Source organism: Homo sapiens, chromosome 16 (genome assembly GCF_000001405.40).
Source record: "Homo sapiens chromosome 16, GRCh38.p14 Primary Assembly".
Classification (NCBI taxonomy): Eukaryota; Metazoa; Chordata; class Mammalia; order Primates; family Hominidae; genus Homo; species Homo sapiens.
Genome location: NC_000016.10, coordinates 81,962,928 through 81,981,725, shown reverse-complemented (window position 1 = coordinate 81,981,725; position 18,798 = coordinate 81,962,928). Strand labels below are relative to the sequence as shown.

The 18,798-nt window shown below is 39.8% G+C and overlaps 2 annotated features.

The window, feature by feature from the left end:
* Positions 3,569 to 4,124: an enhancer, noted in NCBI's record as "NANOG-H3K27ac-H3K4me1 hESC enhancer chr16:82011207-82011762 (GRCh37/hg19 assembly coordinates)". NCBI's record gives its function as "activates a minimal SCP1, AML or CMV promoter by ChIP-STARR-seq in primed H9 embryonic stem cells {active_cell/tissue: H9 hESC(primed)}" and the evidence as "EXISTENCE:reporter gene assay evidence [ECO:0000049][PMID:30033119]".
* Positions 5,591 to 6,157: an enhancer, noted in NCBI's record as "NANOG hESC enhancer chr16:82009174-82009740 (GRCh37/hg19 assembly coordinates)". NCBI's record gives its function as "activates a minimal SCP1, AML or CMV promoter by ChIP-STARR-seq in naive H9 embryonic stem cells {active_cell/tissue: H9 hESC(naive)}" and the evidence as "EXISTENCE:reporter gene assay evidence [ECO:0000049][PMID:30033119]".

Below are 18,798 nucleotides of genomic sequence, written 5' to 3'. Positions count from 1 at the left end.
ACGGTATCTCATTGTGGTTTTGATTTGCATTTCTCTGATGGCCACTGATGATGAGCATTTTTTCATGTGTTTTTTGGCTGCATAAATGTCTTCTTTTGAGTAGTGTCTGTTGATGTCCTTCGCCCACTTTTTGATGGGGTTGTTTTTTTCTTGTAAATTTGTTTGAGTTCATTGTAGATTCTGGATATTAGCCCTTTGTCAGATGAGTAGGTTGCGAAAATTTTCTCCCATTTTGTAGGTTGCCTGTTCACTCTAATGGTAGTTTCTTTTGCTGCGCAGAAGCTCTTTCGTTTAATTAGATCCCATTTGTCAATTTTGGCTTTTGTTGCCATTGTTTTTGGTGTTTTAGACATGAAGTCCTTGCCCATGCCTATGTCCTGAATGGTAATGCCTAGGTTTTCTTCTAGGGTTTTTATGGTTTTAGGTCTAACATTTAAGTCTTTAATCCATCTTGAATCGATTTTCGTATAAGGTGTAAGGAAGGGATCCAGTTTCAGCTTTCTACATATGGCTAGCCAGTTTTCCCAGCACCATTTATTAAATAGGGAATCCTTTCCCCATTGCTTGTTTTTTGTCAGGTTTGTCAAAGATCAGATAGTTGTAGATATGCGGCATTATTTCTGAGGGCTCTGTTCTGTTCCATTGATCTATATCTCTGTTTTGGTACCAGTACCATGCTGTTTTGGTTACTGTAGCCTTGTAGTATAGTTTGAAGTCAGGTAGCGTGATGCCTCCAGCTTTGTTCTTTTGGCTTAGGATTTACTTGGCGATGCGGGCTCTTTTTTGCTTCCATATGAACTTTAAAGTAGTTTTTTCCAATTCTGTGAAGAAAGTCATTGGTAGCTTGATGGGGATGGCATTGAATCTGTAAATTACCTTGGGCAGTATGGCCATTTTCACGATATTGATTCTTCCTACCCATGAGCATGGAATGTTCTTCCATTTGTTTGTATCCTCTTTTATTTCCTTGAGCAGTGGTTTGTAGTTCTCCTTGAAGAGGTCCTTCACATCCCTTGTCAGTTGGATTCCTAGGTATTTTATTCTCTTTGAAGCAATTGTGAATGGGAGTTCACTCATGATTTGGCTCTCTGTCTGTTGTTGGTGTATAAGAATGCTTGTGATTTTTGTACATTGATTTTGTATCCTGGGACTTTGCTGAAGTTGCTTATCAGCTTAAGGAGATTTTGGGCTGAGATGATGGGGTTTTCTAGATATACAATCATGTCATCTGCAAACAGGGACAATTTGACTTCCTCTTTTCCTAATTGAATACCCTTTATTTCCTTCTCCTGCCTAATTGCCCTGGCCAGAACTTCCAACACTATGTTGAATAGGAGTGGTGAGAGAGGGCATCCCTGTCTTGTGCCCGTTTTCAAAGGGAATGCTTCCAGTTTTTGCCCATTCAGTATGATATTGGCTGTGGGTTTGTCATAGATAGCTCTTATGATTTTGAAATACGTCCCATCAATACCTAATTTATTGAGAGTTTTTAGCATGAAGGGTTGTTGAATTTTGTCAAAGGCCTTTTCTGCATCTATTGAGATAATCATGTGGTTTTTGTCTTTGGCTCTGTTTATATGCTGGATTACATTTATTGATTTGCGTATATTGAACCAGCCTTGCATCCCAGGGATGAAGCCCACTTGATCATGGTGGATAAGCTTTTTGATGTGCTGCTGGGTTCGGTTTTGCCAGTATTTTATTGAGGATTTTTGAATCAATGTTCATCAGGGATATTGGTCTAAAATTCTCTTTTTTTGTTGTGTCTCTGCCAGGCTTTGGTATCAGGATGATGCTGGCCTCATAAAATGAGTTAGGGAGGATTCCCTCTTTTTCTATTGATTGGAATAGTTTCAGAAGGAAACTTGCTTGGTAGATTTTCCTCCCTCCTTTTATTTTGAGCCTATGTGCGTCTCTGCACGTGAGATGGGTTTACTGATTACAGCACACTGATGGGTCTTGACTCTTTATCCAATTTGCCAGTCTGTATCTTTTAATTGGAGCATTTAGTCCATTTACATTTAAAGTTAATATTGTTATGTGTGAATTTGATCCTGTCATTAGGATGCTAGCTGGTTATTTTGCTCGTTAGTTGATGCAGTTTTTTCCTAGTCTCGATGGTCTTTACATTTTGGCATGATTTTGCAGTGGCTGGTACCAGTTGTTCCTTTCCATGTTTAGCGCTTCCTTCAGGAGCTCTTTTAGGGCAGGCCTGGTGGTGACACAATCTCTCAGCATTTGCTTGTCTGTAAAGGATTTTATTTCTCCCTCACTTATGAAGCTTAGTTTGGCTGGATATGAAATTCTGGGTTGAAAATTCTTTTCTTTAAGAATGTTGAATATTGGCCCCCACTCTCTTCTGGCTTGTAGGGTTTCTGCCGAGAGATCCGCTGTTAGTCTGATGGGCTTCCCTTTGAGGGTAACCCGACCTTTCTCTCTGGCTGCCCTTGACATTTTTTTCCTTCATTTCAACTTTGGTGAATCTGACAATTATGCGTCTTGCAGTTGCTCTTCTCGAGGAGTATCTTTGTGGCGTTCTCTGTATTTCCTGAATCTGAACGTTGGCCTGCCTTGCTAGATTGGGGAAGTTCTCCTGGATAATATCCTGCAGAGTGTTTTCCAACTTGGTTCCATTCTCCCCATCACTTTCAGGTACACCAATCAGACGTAGATTTGGTCTTTTCACATAGTCCCATATTTCTTGGAGGCTTTGCTCATTTCTTTTTATTCTTTTTTCTCTAAACTTCCCTTCTCACTTCATTTCATTCATTTCATCTTCCATCACTGATACCCTTTCTTCCAGTTGATCGCATCAGCTCCTGAGGCTTCTGCATTCTTCACGTAGTTCTCGAGCCTTGGTTTTCAGCTCCATCAGCTCCTTTAAGCACTTCTCTGTATTGGTTATTCTAGTTATACATTCTTCTAAATTTTTTTCAAAGTTTTCTTTTTTTTTTTTTTTTTTTTTTTTTTTAGACGGAGTCTCGCTCTGTCGCCCAGGCCAGACTGCGGACTGCAGTGGCGCAATCTCGGCTCACTGCAAGCTCCGCTTCCCGGGTTCACGCCATTCTCCTGCCTCAGCCTCCCGAGTAGCTGGGACTACAGGCGCCCGCCACCGCGCCCGGCTAATTTTTTGTATTTTTAGTAGAGACGGGGTTTCACCTTGTTAGCCAGGATGGTCTCGATCTCCTGACCTCACGATCCACCCGCCTCGGCCTCCCAAAGTGCTGGGATTACAGGCGTGAGCCACCGCGCCCGGCCCAAAGTTTTCAACCTCTTTGCCTTTGGTTTGAATGTCCTCCCGTAGCTCAGAGTAATTTGATCGTCTGAAGCCTTCTTCTCTCAGCTCGTCAAAGTCATTCTCCGTCCAGCTTTGTTCCATTGCTGGTGAGGAACTGCGTTCCTTTGGAGGAGGAGAGGCGCTCTGCTTTTTAGAGTTTCCAGTTTTTCTGTTCTGTTTTTCCCCATCTTTGTGGTTTTATCTACTTTTGGTCTTTGATGATGGTAATGTACAGATGGGTTTTTGGTGTGGATGTCCTTTCTGTTTCTTAGTTTTCCTTCTAACAAACAGGACCCTCAGCTGCAGGTCTGCTGGAGTACCCTGCCGTGTGAGGTGTCAGTGTGCCCCCGTTGGAGGTTGCCTCCCAGTTAGGCTGCTCAGAGGTCAGGGGTCAGGCACCCACTTGAGGAGGCAGTCTGCCCCTTCTCAGATCTCCAGCTGCGTACTGGGAGAACCACTGCTCTCTTCAAAGCTGTCAGACAGGGACATTTAAGTCTGCAGAGGTTACTGCTGTCTTTTTGTTTGTCTGTGCCCTGCCCCCAGAGGTGGAGCCTACAGAGGCAGGCAGGCCTCCTTGAGCTGTGGTGGGCTCCACCCAGTTGGAGCTTCCCGGCTGCTTTGTTTACCTAAGCCAGCCTGGGCAATGGCAGGCGCCCCTCCCCCAGCCTCGCTGCTGCCTTGCAGATTGATCTCAGACTGCTGTGCTAGCAATCAGCGAGACTCCGTGGTCGTAGGACCCTCTGAGCCAGGTGCGGGATATAATCTCGTGGTGCGCCGTTTTTTAAGCCCGTCGGAAAAGCGCAGTATTCGGGTGGGAGTGGCCTGATTTTCCAGGTGCCATCCGTCACCCCTTTCTTTGACTAGGAAAGGGAACTCCCTGACCCCTTGCGCTTCCAGAGTGAGGCAATGCCTCGCCCTGCTTCGGCTCGCGCATGGTGCACGCACCCACTGACCTGCGCCCACTGTCTGGCACTCCCTAGTGAGATGAACCCGGTACCTCAGATGGAAATGCAGAAATCAGCTGTCTTCTGCGTTGCTCACGCTGGGAGCTGTAGACCAGAGCTGTTCCTATTCGGCCATCTTGGCTCCTCCCCCTGATAGGATTTTTATTACTGATTCAATTTCAGAAAAAAATATTGGTCTGTTCAGAGTTTCAATGTCTTTCTGATTTTATCTTGGGAGTTTATGTATTTCCAGAAATTTATCCATTTCCTCTGGATTTTCTGGTTTGTATGCATAAAGGTGTTCATAATAGTCTCTGAGTATCTTTTGTACTTCTGTGGGATTGGTTGTAATGTCACCTTTGTCATTTCTGCTTGTGCTTAGTTTGATCTTCTCTCATTTTTTGTTAATCCAGCTAGCAGTCTGTCAGTCATGTTTATCCTTTCAAAGAACCCAGTTTTCAGGCCGGGTGCAGTGGCTCACACCTGTAATTGCAACACTTTGGGAGGCCGAGGCGGGTGGGTCATGAGGTCAGGAGTTCGAGACCAGCCTGACCAACATAGTGAAACCCCATCTCTACTAAAAATACAAAAATTAGCCGTGTGTGGTGGCACACGCCTGTAGTCCCAGCTACTCAAGAGGCTGAGGCGGGATAATTGCTGGAACCCAGGAGGCAGAGGTTGCAGTGAGCCAAGACCATGCCATCGTCATCCAGCCTGGATGACAGAGTGAGACTCTGTCTCAAAAAAAAAAAAAAAAAACAAAAATAAAAACACACGCTTTTGGTTTCATTGATTCTTTATGTGAATTTTTGGGTCTCATTCAGTTCTGCTCTGATTTTAGTTTTCTTCTGCTATCTTTGGAGTTAGTTTGTTCTGGTTTTTCTAGTTCCTCAAGACGTGATGTTAAATTAAAAATCTCTGTGAGATCTTTCTTACTTTTTGAGGTAGGCATTTAGAGCTACAGACTTTGGTCTTGACACTGCTTTTGCTACATCTCAGAAATTTTATGTTGTGTCTCTGTTTTTGTTTATTTCAAATAATTTTTGGATTTCTGCCTTAATTTTGTTGTTTATTCAAAAGTAATCTGGGAGCAAATTGTTTAATTTCCATGTGGTTGTGTGGTTTGGGGATATCCTCTTGGTATTGATTAATAATTTTATTCCACTCTGTTCTGAAAGTATGGCTGGTATGATTTCAATTTTTTTGAATTTATTGAGACTCATTTTATGGCTGAGCATGTGGTTGATCTTGGAATATGCTCCATGTGCAGTTGAAAAATATGTATGTTCTGTGGTTAACAGGTGGAGTGTTCTGTAAATGTCTGAGATCGAGTTGGTCCAGTGTCAAATTTAAGTCTAGAATTTATTTTCTGCCTTGATGATATGTCTAACACTGTTAGTGGAGTATTGAAGCCTCCCAGTATTATCATGTGGCTAAGTCTTTTCAAAGGTCTAGTAGTAGGTTTTATTTTTGTTTGTTTGTTTTTTAATAAATCTGGGTGCTCCAGTGTTGGGTGCATATGCATTTAGGACAGATAAGTCTTCTTGTTACATTGAACCCTTTATCATGTAATGCCTTTTTGTCCTTTTGTTGTTGCTGGTTTAATGTCTGTTTTATCTAAGAATAGTGACCCCCTACTGTTTGTTGTTTTCCATTTACATGACAGATCTTTCTCCATCTCTTTACTTTGAGCCACTGGGTGTGCTTACGTGTGAGGTGGGTGTCTTAAAGACAACAGATGTATGGGTCTTGTTTTTTAATGCAATTTACAAGTGTGTGCCTTTAAAGTGGGGCATTTAGACATTTACATTCAAGATTAATATTGAAGTGTAAGGTTTTGATCCTGTCATGAGGTTTTTAGCTGGTTGCTTTGTAGTTTTTACTTGTGTGCTTGCTTTATAGGGTCTGTGGGCTATGTCCTTAAGTGTGTTTCTTGGGTAGGAGGTATATTTCTTTTGTTTCTATGTTTAAAACTCCCTTAAGATTCTCTTGTAAGGCTGATCTAATGGTAACAAATTCCCTTACTGCTTGCTTGTCTGTAAAAGATTTTATTTTCTCCTTTACTCATAAAGCTTAGATGGGTGCAATATGAAAATCTTGGTGGGAATTTCTTTAAGAATACTGAAAATGGGCCCCCAATCTCTCCTGGCTTGTAAGGTTTCTGCTGCAAGTCTGCTGTTAGCCTGATGGGGTTTCCTTTGTACATGATGTGACATTTTTTTCTAGCTGCCTTTAAGATTTTTTTTCTCTAGCATTGACATTGAACAATCTGGTGACTATATGGCTTGCTGATGTTTGTCTTGTATAGTATCTCACAGGTATTCTCTGGATTTTTAAAATCTGGATGTCTACTTCTTTAGCAAGGTTAGGGAAATTTACTTGAATTACTCCCTTAAATATATTTTCCAGCTTGCTTATTTTTTCTCCTTTTCTCTCGGGAATACCAGTAATTCATAGGTTTGGTCACTTTACATAATCTTATATTTCTCAAAGGTTTTTTGTTCATTCGTTAAAATTGTTTTTTATTTTTGTCTTACTAGATTAGTTTGAAAGACCAGTCTTCAAGCTCTGAAATTCTTTCTTCCATATGGGCCAATTTATTGACAAAGTTTGCAATTGTATTTTGAAATTCCTTAAGTGAGTTTTTCAATTCCAGAAGTTCTGATTGATTGATTTTTTTTTTTTTTTTTTTTTTTTTGTGACAGTGTCTCACCCTGTTTCCCTGGCTGGAGTACAGTGTTATGATCTTGGCTCACTGCAAGCTCTGTCCTGCAGGTTCACACCATTCTGCCTCAGCCTCCAGAGTAGCTGGGACTACAGGTGCCTGCCACCACGCCCAGCTAATTTTTTGGCATTTTTAGTAGAGACGTGGTTTCACTATATTAGCCAGGATTGTCTCAATCTCCTGACCTCATGATCTGCCCGCCTCAGCCTCCCAAAGCTGGGATTATAGGTGTGAGCCACCGCACCCGGCCTGATTTCTTTTTAAGATGTTTATCTCTTCCTTAATTTACTGGATTGATTTAGAAGTTTCTTTGTGTTGATTTTCAGTCTTGCCATGGATCTTGTTGAGCTTCCTTGTAATTCATGTATTGAATTCTTTCTCTGTCATTTCTGCATTTCCATTTTGGTTAGGGACCATTGCTGGAGAGCTAGTGTGATACCACTAAATTCAGATTTTTCATGGTGCCAGAATTCTTGTGCTAGTTCCTTCTCATCTGGAGATGCTGACTCTTCTAATTCTTGTAATTATTTTCATGTGGGTAGGATTTCTTTTCTTTTTCTTTCTCTATAATATTACCGGTTTTTTCTTCTTTCCCTTTCCCTTCCCCACACCACCCCCGCTACTGCCCCCAGGAGTTGTGACTGTAGAGAATGTGGGTAGGGTCTTTTGGCTTTGCTTCTATAACCCTATGCACTACTTTTGGCAGGTTTTGTATTAGGCTTTGTGGTTTGACTTACAAACCAGTAGAGGGTACTTAAGGGTAAGAGGCAGCTGCAGCCAACATGCTGGGTATATACTTGCCCTTTGTTTACTACTAGAAGCTCGCCGTTGCCTCAGGAAATGGGCTGATGCATGGAATGCACAGTCCTCTGAGCTTCCTGCTTAGCCCCAGGAAGAGGGGGGCATGATGGGCAGGACCAGACCAGGTAGGCCTACCTACAGGTCCCCCAGTGGCAGGCACAAGCACCAGTGCTGAGGGAGAATCCAGTGGGCAGCCACCAGATACCCAGAGGTGGGCCTAGGCATGGAGCTGGAAAACCTCCTCAGCCCCAAGTTATCTGTACAGATCAGGGGTCAGCCTAAATTCCTAATTCAGGAGAGTGGGTGCTTCAGCTGCCTAGAGATATGCCTGGGCATGGGACAGAGAGGTCCTCGCTTTACCATCGTCTCTACACAGGAAGGGTGGGCTGGCTCAGACTACTCATTCAGGCAAGGAGGTGCTCTGAATGCCTGGACATCTGCCTGGGCATGGAGCGGAGAGGGCCCTGTTTCACCACAATTTCTGCAGAGGAAGAGTGGGGCAACTCCGGCTGCTGATCCAGGTCAGTGGAGATCTGCCTGGGTGTCAACCAGAGAAGGCCCTGGGGCACTACAATCTTTTTATGAACTAGACATCATCACAGGGGCTGTTTGCCTGTGTTCTTCTACCCAGGATCTGAGGTTTTCTTTACAATTCTAGTGGATTCCAATTTTCCTTCTCCAATTAAAGCTCAGAGAGTTTAGGCACTACTTTGCTATTTCCAAGTGGCTGAGGCATGTTAAAAACCTCTAATCCACCACCTTGGAAAAAAAAAAAACACTAATTCACTAAAAGCTTTTATGTGGCATATGTGTTTCATATTATCAATTTCCTTATGGAAAAGCATAATCTATTAATGTAGAGAACTGCATTGATAGGTTTTCCAATATTAAACCATTACTGGATTCCTGAGATTAACTCTACGTTATGAACAAGTGAACATTGGTTTGCAAATATTTTTCAGGATTTCTACTCTATTTAACAGTGAGATTGGCATCATCCTCCCTCCCTTTCTCTCTGTTCCTTTCACTTTTCTTGATTTTCCCTCTCTTCCTTGATTGTCCTCTACCCTCCTAAAATGAGCTTAGGAGGTCTCTTTTTTTTGGTCTGTCACCTTATAATTTTTATTCAATAAAAATATATTCTGTAGTCAGGAATAGTGGTTCATGCCTGTAATCCCAGCACTTTGGGAGGCCAAGGCAGGAGATAGCTTGAGGCCAAGTTTGAAAACAGCCTGGGCAACATAGCAAGACCCCATCTCTACAGAAAATAAAAAATAAATTATCCAGGCATGTGGCTGCATGCCTTTAGTCCCAGGTATTTAGGTGGCTGAGGTGGGAGGATCATCTGAGCCTAGGCGTTCAAAGTTACAGTGAGTTGTGACCCTAACATTGCACCCCAGCCAGGGTGACATGAGCAAGACCCTGACTCAGAAAGCTTTCACGTGTGTGTGTGTGTGTGTGTGTGTGTGTGTGTGTGTGTGTGTGTTCGTGTGTTCCTTCTCTTTTGGGAACAGAAAGCCCAGACACAGATCATTGAAATTATCCAGCCAGAGGAGCAAAAACAGGAAGAAGAAGAGAAGTGGGGGGAGGGGGAAGAAGGGAGAGGTAAGAGGAGGGGGAAGGAGAGGAAGAGGAAGATGAGGGAAGGAGAAGGAAGGAAGAACAGAAGGAAGGAAGAGGAAGAGAAAAAAGCCTCACAGACTTATAGGACACCATAAGCAGACCAAAATACTCATTATGTTAGTTCCAAAAGTAGAAGAGATAAAGAGACAGAAAGCTTCTTTAAATAAATAATGTCCAAAAACTTGTCAAATCTCTGAAAGAAAATGGACCCAAAGGGAATAAACTCAAAGAAGTCCATATTGAGACATCAGTTGTCAAAAGTCAGAATTTTGAGAGCAACAAAAGGGACTAATTACATACAAGGGAACTCCCATAAGAATCAGTGAATTTCTCAGCAGAAACCTTGCAGGCCAGAAAAGAATGGGACAGTATATTGGGAGTGCTGAAAGGAGGGGGAGAAAAGGTTGTTCAAGAATACTGTATCTGGCAAACTGTCCTTTAAAAGCAAAGGAGAAATAAAGACTTTTTCAGATAAAATTTGAAGAAGTTCATCACCGCTAGGCCTGAATAACAACAAATACTAAAGTTCTTGAAGTTTAAACAGACTCTAAGCAGCCATACAAAAGCATATGAAAGTATAAAGTTTGCTGGTAAAGGTAAGTATATAGCTAAACACAGAATACTATATTGTTAGTGTATACATCACTTTTAATTCTGGTACAGATGTTAAAAGCCAAAAGTATTTAAAAACTATGAAAATATGTAAGGGATACACAATATAAAAAGATAAAATTTATGACATAATTGACAAAGTTTGGAGGAAAGAGTAAAACTGTAGAGTTTTTCAATGTGATTACAGTTGTTATCAGCTTAAAACAGATTGTTACAACTATAAAATGTTTCATGTAAGCCCTATGTTAGCTACAAAAATTACAAAAAATCAACAAAGGAAGACAGTGAAAGAAGAAAAGGGACAAAAGAGCTGCAAGACAGACAGAAAATTATTAACAAAATGGCAATAGTTAGTCCTTTCCTATCAATAATTAAATGTAAATGTATTAAACTGCCCAGTCAAAAGACACAAAGTAGCTGAAGGATAACAAGATTCAACTAGATGCTGTATATAAGAGACTGACTTTAAGTTTAATGACACACATATACTTAAAGTGATAGGATGGAGAAAGATACGCTAAGCTACTAAAAGAGGGGTGACCATACTTAAACAAAATAGACTTTAAGTCAAAAGCTGCTACAAGAGACAAAGAAGGACAGATAATGATTAATGGGTCAGTTCACCAAGAAGATATAATAATTGTAAATATGTATGTACCAAACATCAGAGCACTTAAATATATGAAACAAACATCGGCAGAACTGAAGGGAAAAACAGCATCGCAATAATAGTAGGAGATTTCAGTAATGAATAGAACATCTAGACACAGGATCAATAAGGAAACAGAGGGCTTGAAAAATACTATAAATCAAATGCACCTAATAGTCATATACAGAACATTCCACCCAACAGTAGCAGAATACACATTTTCTCAAGTGCACACAGAAATATTCTCCAGGACAGATCACAAAGCAAGTCTTAACAAACTTAAGAAGATTGAATTCTCAAATTTATTTCCAACTACAGTGAAATGAAACTAAAAATCAGTAGGAGAAGGAAAATCAGAAAACTCATAAATATATGGAAATTAAATAACACCTACTCTGGAACAACCAATGGGTCAAAGAAGATATAAAAAGGTAAATTATAAAATATCTTTAGACAAAACAAAAACATAACTCATGGAGAAAAAAGCAGTAGGAAGAGGAAAATTTGTGGTGATAAATTCCTACCTCCCAAAAGAAGAGCTCAAATAACCTAACTTCTATACCTCAAGGAATGAGAAACAAACAGACTAAGCCCAAAGATGGCAGAAGAAATGAAATAATAAAGATTAAGGTAGAAGTTATCAAAGTAGAGAATAGAAAATTAAGACTGAATCATAAAGAAATAGAACATCTGAACAGACTTTTAGCTAGTAAGGAGATTCAATCAGTAATCAAAAACATCTCAAAAAAGGCCCAGGACCAGAAGATTTTGCTGATGAATTCTATTAAACATTTAAAGAACAATTAAGACGAATGCTTCTGAACTTTTAAAAAGTAGAAGAGGAACGAATACTTCCGAAGTCATTTTATGAGGCCAGCATTACCCCAGTGCCAAAGCCAAAAACAGACATTACAAGAAAAAAATAATGCAGACCAATATCCCAGATATAGATGCAAAATTCTTAACAAAATACAAGCAAACCACATTCAATAGCACATTAAAAGGACATACACCATGATGACTAAGTGGGATTTAGTCACTTATAAGAGACTGGAGAGTATCCCTAGGACATAAGAATGATTACAAATATGCAAATCAAAAATGTGATACACCACAGGAACAGAACAGAGGATAAAAATTACATGATCATATCAATAGAAACAAATTGCGTTTGGCAAAATTCAACACCCTTTTGTGATTAAAAAAACTTAGGAAACTAGGTGTATTAGTCCATTTTGTGTTGCTATAAAGAAATACTTGAGATTGGATAATTTATTTTGGCTTTCAGTTCTGTGGACTGTGAAGCATGGTGCCAGCATATGCTTCTGGTAAGGCCTCATGAAGCTTTTAGTCATGGTGGAAGAGAAGGGCAGCCAGTGTGTCATATGGCAAGGGAGGTAACAAGAGAAATGCCAGGCTCTTCTCAACAACCAGCTCTTAAATGAACTAAGAGTGAGAACTCACTCATTACTGTAGGGAGGGCACCAAGCCATTCATGAGGGATCTGCCCCCATGACCCAAACATCTCCCACTAGTCCCTACCTCCAACACTGGGAATCACATTTCAATATGAGATCTGGAAGGGATGACTATCCAAATCATATCACTAGGAATAACAAGGAAATTACCTCAACATAATAAAGGCCCATATATGAAAACACGACAGTTAACATATTCAAAGGTAAAAAACAAACTTTTCGTCTAAGATCAGGAAAGAGGTGAGGATGCTCACTCTCACCACTTCTATTCAGCATACTAGTGAAGGTTCTAGCCAGAGCAAGTAGACAAGAAAAAGAAATAAAAGGCACGCAAACTGGAAAGGAGGAAGAAAAATTATCTTTGTTCACAGATAACATGATTTTAGGTGTAGAAAATCCTATAGATTCCACCAAAGGGGAAAAAAACTGTTAGAACTAATAAATTCAGTAAAGTTACAGGATTCAAAGTCAGCATACTAAAATTAGTTATGTTTCTGTACACCAACTACAAGCAATCTGGAAAGGAAATTACAGCAATCGCATTTATAACAGCGTCAAAAAGAAAACACTTAGCAATAAACTTAACCAAGGAAATGAAAGACTTGTACACTGAAAACTATAAAATATTGCTGAAAGAAATTTAAAACACAAATAATGGAAAGACATCCTATGTTCATGAACTGGAAAACTTAATATTGTTAAAATGTCCATATTACCCAAAGTGATCTACAGATTCAATGTCATTCCTACCAAAATCCTAATGGCATTTTTTACAGAAATAGAAAACACAATCCTAAAATTCATATAGAACCACAAATGATCCCAAATAGCCAAAACAATCTTGAAAGAGAACAAAGGTTGAGGTCTCATACTTCCTAATTTCAAAACACACTTCAAAACTACAGTAATAAAATATTATGGTACTGGCAAAAGACAGACATATAGATCAATGGAACAGAATAGAGAGCCCAGAAATAACCCTATGCACCTAAGATCAACCGATCTTTGACAAAGCTTCCAAGAATACACAGTGGGGAAAGAATAGTCTCTTCAAAAAATGGTGTTGGGAAAACTGAAAATCCGCATGCAAAAGAATGAAATTGGTCTCTTAACTTATATGTGAAAATCAATTTAGAATTGATTAAAGACTTAAATATAAGACTTAAAGCCATAAAACTGCTAGAAGAAAACAGAAGAAAAGCTTCATGACATGGGTCTTAGCAGTGATTTCTTGGATATGACCTCAAAAGCTTGGGCAACAAAACAAAGGTAAGTAGAACTGTATCAAACTAAAAAGCTTCTGCACACAGCAAAGGAAATATTCAGGAGAGTAAAAAGGCAACCTCTGGATTGAGAGAAAATATTTGAAAACTGTACATCTGATAAGGAGTTAATATCAAAAACAAGGAATTCCTATAACTCAATAGCAAAAACCCACAATTTTTTAAATGGGCAAATGACTTAAATAGACATTTTTCCAAAGAAGACATACAAATGGTCAACAGGTATATGAAAAGATGTTCAACATCACTAATCTTCAAGAAAATGCAAATTGCCCAGGCGTGGTGGCTTACGCCTGTAATCCCAGCACTTTGGGAAGCCAAGGCAGGCAGATCACTTGAGGTCAGTAGTTTGAGACCAGCCTGACAGACATGGTGAAACTCCATGTCTACTAAAAATACAAAAAAATGAGCCGGGTATGGTGGTGTGCACCTGTAATCCCAGCTGCTTGGGAGGCTGAGTCAGGAGAATCTCTTGAACCTAGGAGGCAGAGGTTGCAGTGAGCCAAGATCTCAGCCCTGCACTTCAGCCTGAGCGACAGAGTGAGACTCTGTCTCAATAAAATAAAATTTAATTTAATTTAAAAAAAAAAGAAAATGTAAAAGCCACAGTGAAATATCACCTCACACCCTTTTAGGATGGACATTATTAGAAAAATATGTATATAACAAGTGTTGACGAAGATGTGGAGAAATAGGAAACCTTCTGCACTGTTGGTGGTAGAAGTGTAAAATGATGCAGGCATTATGCAAAGCAGTGTGGAGGTTCCTCAAAAATTAAAACAGAGGTACTATACGTTCTAGCAATCCCACTTCTGCATATTTAGCTAAAATAATCAAAATCAGGAACTGAAGGAGAGATTTGCACTCTCCAGTTCATCGTAGCATCATTCACGATAGTCAAGAGGTAGAAACAACTTAAAGTGTACATGGACAGATGAATGGACAAAGAACATGGGGTATAGGCATACGATGGAATATTATTCAGTCAGAAAACAGAAGGAAATCCTGTCAGATGCTACAACTTGCATCTTGAAGGACATTATACTAAGTAAAATACGCCAATCATAGAAAGACAAATACTGCGTAGTTCTACTTATGTAAAGCATCTGAAGCATTGAAACTCATCTAAGCATAAAGTAGAATGGTGGTTACCAGGAGCTGGGGGAAATGGGAAATTGCTGTTCAGTGTATATAATGCTTCACTCATGCAAGGTGAAAAAGTTCTAGAGACCTGTACCACTTTGTGCCTGTAGTTAACACTGTACTGTACTCTTTAAAAAACAGGGTAAATCTCATGTCATGTTGTTTTGGGTTTTTCTTTTGGCCACAGTAACAAAAAAAAAAAAAAAAAAAAAAAAAAAAAAACTTTCTCTGGAATGTTTGGTAGAAGTTGCCCATGAAATCATCTGAAATTGATGCCATGGGGTGGGAGGTGCATGTCTTTGTTTTTTCTATTTCTTGGATGATAATTGGATTAGTCTTATTTGTTTTTTCTATTTCTTGGATGATAATTGGAATAGTCATATTTTTAGTGATTCTTAGACATTTGGTCGTTTTTATTTTAATATAATATTACCTATTTTGTCTAGGCTTCCAAAAGTCTTACTATAAAATTATTTTTACTCCTGGTAGTGTTGATTTGTGCTGCTTTTTTTCCCCTTGACTTTTAAAAGAACCATTTTATCAATTTTAGTTTTGTTTTTTTGGATTTTCTTGTTTTTTACCCTCTTTAGAGTGTTTTCCCTAGCTTCTAAGTTAAAGCGTAGATCATTTATTGTCACTTTTTCTCATTTTACAATAAATGCATTTAAAATTCTAGTATTTTTTTTCTGGGCAGTTCTGTCCCTTTCCTGAAATACTTTTGTCCCTTCCCTAACATATTCCCTAAAAATATTTTAGAAATAGCTTTTAAACTTTGTGATCATAGGACTTTTGGGGAGCATCTTTTTGTTTGTGATTTTCATGTGGCGCCAAGTTTAATCTTGTATTAGAGCAATTAAAATTGTTTCCCGCTCTGTGGCTTGTTGTACAGTCAATATTTGTAAATGTCCTGTGTTTGAAGAAAATTTGTATTTTCTGGATCCAAAATTTACTCTGTGTTTGCAGAAGCCTAATGTACCTTTGATCAGGCTGGTGACTTGTGTTTTTCAGATTCTCCTTATCCTTGTTTTGTGCCTTCTTTATCTGTGCTGTTGTGAGAAAACACTCTGATCTCCATCTATAATTGTTAACTTGTTGATTTTTGTTCTCCCACTCTGCTCTGTGCTTCTCGAAGCTATGTTGTGAGACACGCAAAAGCTTGGGTCCTTCACAATTGGCTGGTGCAGTATTACTGTTAGAATTGTAAAACATTGCCCTTCTTAGCGATATCAACCTTGATTTTGTAACTTGTCTGATATTAGCAATGCTGCAGCAGCTTTATTTGTATTAGAATCTGCCTGATACGTTTTTTATATAACTTTGTTTTTTGTTGCTTTTTTTGAAAATAAAAATGAAAAAAGGAAAGAATAATATAACAGCCACTTTTCACTCTCCAGAATAATTGGCTAACATTTTGTGCCGTTTTAGTCTTTCTTCCCACTCCCTCGCCCCTGCCATCTTCCCCACCGCCTTCTTCCCCACTCCGCCACCCCTCTCACCTCCGCCCCGCCTTTCCCCTCTCATTTCCCTCCTCCCCTCTCTCTCGTTTTCTTTCTTCTTTTTTTTTTTTTTTTTTTTTTTCTTGTGCAGTGGTACAATCTCGGCTCACTGCATCCTCCGCCTCCTTGGTTCAAGCGATTCTCCTGCCTCAGCGTCCGGAGTAGCTGGGATTACAGGTGCGCGCCACCACGTGCCTGGCTCATTTTTGTATTTTCAGTAGAGATGGGGTTTCACCATGTGGGCCAGGCTGGTTTTGAACTCCTGATCTCAAGTGAGTGACCCACCTCAGCCTCCCAAAGTGCTGGAATTACAGGCATGAGCCACCGCACCCAGCCTCATTTTCATTATTATTATTTTTTATTTATTTTTATTTATTTATTTATTTTTGAGACAGAGTCTCGCTCTGTCGCCCAGGCTGGAGTGCAGTGGCGCGATCTCGGCTCACTGCAAGCTCCGCCTCCCAGGTTCACGCCATTCTCCTGCCTCAGCCTCCCGAGTAGCTGGGACTACAGGCCCCCTCTGTCTAGCTATTCATCTGTGGACAAGAAAGCTTGAGTATGCCTGTATCCCTTTTTTTGGTAGAGCAGGCTGCATTTACATTTGTGTCAAGCAGAGCAACACTTCCCGCTCTCTAAAAAAGAAAGAAAACCCATACTCAAGCTGAAACTACCTCTCCCTGCCTCGGTCACATGGCCTTTGCCTTCCCCGCTATGTGACTCAATCCTTGTCTTGACATTAAGATGTTCCTTTCAGTCCATTTTTATACCTGTATTATCTACTTAGCTGTGTGTATGTTGGAAGCAGTTTTATGTGCAGTTTTTAAATATGTGTAAATGGCGTCACTGGGTAGCACTGTTCTGTATTTTCCCTTTTCTCACACGATATTGTGTAAACGTATCCATGTTACATATATGGGCTCTGTTCCACTCCACTTTACCTCCTTATACTATTCCGTCTTACACATATCCCGCATTTTATCTATATGTCTCTCTACTAATTCATACCATTTCACTCTTCTCTTTGCTGTGTGTGTGTGTGTGTGTGTGTGGCTGCTTTCACTCAACTTGTATGGGTGTGATCCATCCACGCAGTTACTGTAGTTGCAGCTCAGTCATTTGTCATTGCTGTATGGTGCTCTATTGTAGAAATGCGCATTTGTATGTGTATATCAACTCTTCCGTAGACGGACATTTAAGGCTCTTTTCAGTTTTTGCCTATTGTGAATAACAGTACTACGAACACTCTGTATATGTCTTTTGGTGTGCATATATATGCTTCAGTATTAGGTATATATTCAGGAGTGGAATTGATGGGTTGCAGGGTGTGTATATGTTTAATTTCAGCAGAGAATGTCATACATTTTTTACAATGTAGTTTTGTACTAATTTACACAAGTGTGCCAGGTGCTCTACATTCTTGCTAACACATTAGGCTTTTAATTTTTGCCACTCTAGTAAGTGTGTAGTGGTATCTCATGGTTCTAATTTTCATTTTTCCCATAGGAATCATGAGTGAACTTTTTCCTACACATTATCAGGCCTTTGGATATACTCTTGTGAGGTGCTTATTCATGAAATATGCCCCTTTTTTTTTTTTTTTTTTTTTTTTTTTTTTGAGACGGAGTCTGGCTCTGTCACCCAAGCTGGAGTGCAGTGGCGCAATCTTGACTCACTGCAAGCTCCGCCTCCTGGGTTCACGCCATTCTCCTGCCTCAGCCTCCCGAGTAGCTGGGACTACAGGTGCCCGCCACCACGCCGGAATATGCCCCTTTTTCTCAAATGGATTGTCTTACTCTTATTGACTTGGAATGATGGAGTTATTTTTTGGCTGAGGTCTTTTGTCAGATACATTATTGCAAATATCTCCCTCTACTCTGTGGCTTGTCTTTTCTCTCTGTCTTCTTATTGTATCTTTTGATAAAAACCAGTTTTGAATTTTAGGGGAGTCAAATTTAGCAGTCTTCCTTCAGGGATGCTGCTTTTGTAGTTTTGTTTAAGTAACCTTTCCCTACGCCGATGTTGTGAAGACCTTCTAGAAATATTGTTTTATCTTTCATATTTTGATCTATAATCTAACTGACTTGATTTTTGTGTGTGGAGTAAGATAGGAGTCAGATTTCACATCCATCAGCGATGCTGAAATAAATTTAATAGATATAAAACTGGTAAAACCAGTGATCAGTATCCACAAGGGAATGATCAATGGAATCTCCACAGGACACAGTTTGCATTTCTACGGACAGGAATAATTTGCATTATTCGGACAATAAAACGTGGAGAAACCGTATAAAATCAGATAATCTGGATAGCGGATAACCTATACTGTATGTATATATATTGTTCTCTGCATTCTCCTTTAAACAAGCTGGAACATCTCACTGGTTCCTTTGTTAATTAATAAGATTTCTGACATATGTTCATTATATATCTTTATGAGAGTTATGGTTGTATCCATTTAAAAAGTGGTCATTTGGCAGTTCTAATTTCATCTTTGCTTTTTACTATTCCTTGCTCATCTTCTAATGCAGAGGTTTGTCATAGGCTATTATTAAATCTTTGGACCAGGGTAACTAATCCAACCACTGGGGGCTGGGGGTTGGGGGTCAGAGGTATGAGATACAACATGGCTTCCTGTGGACCAGGGATTGTTGGCAAGAAACGCAGTGATTGACAGTTCTAGGGAGCCTATCACTCAGCTGAGAAATACAGGGACTTACTATAAGGTCCTCGCTCCTTCCAACACTAAACATTCTTTCAAAACTGATAA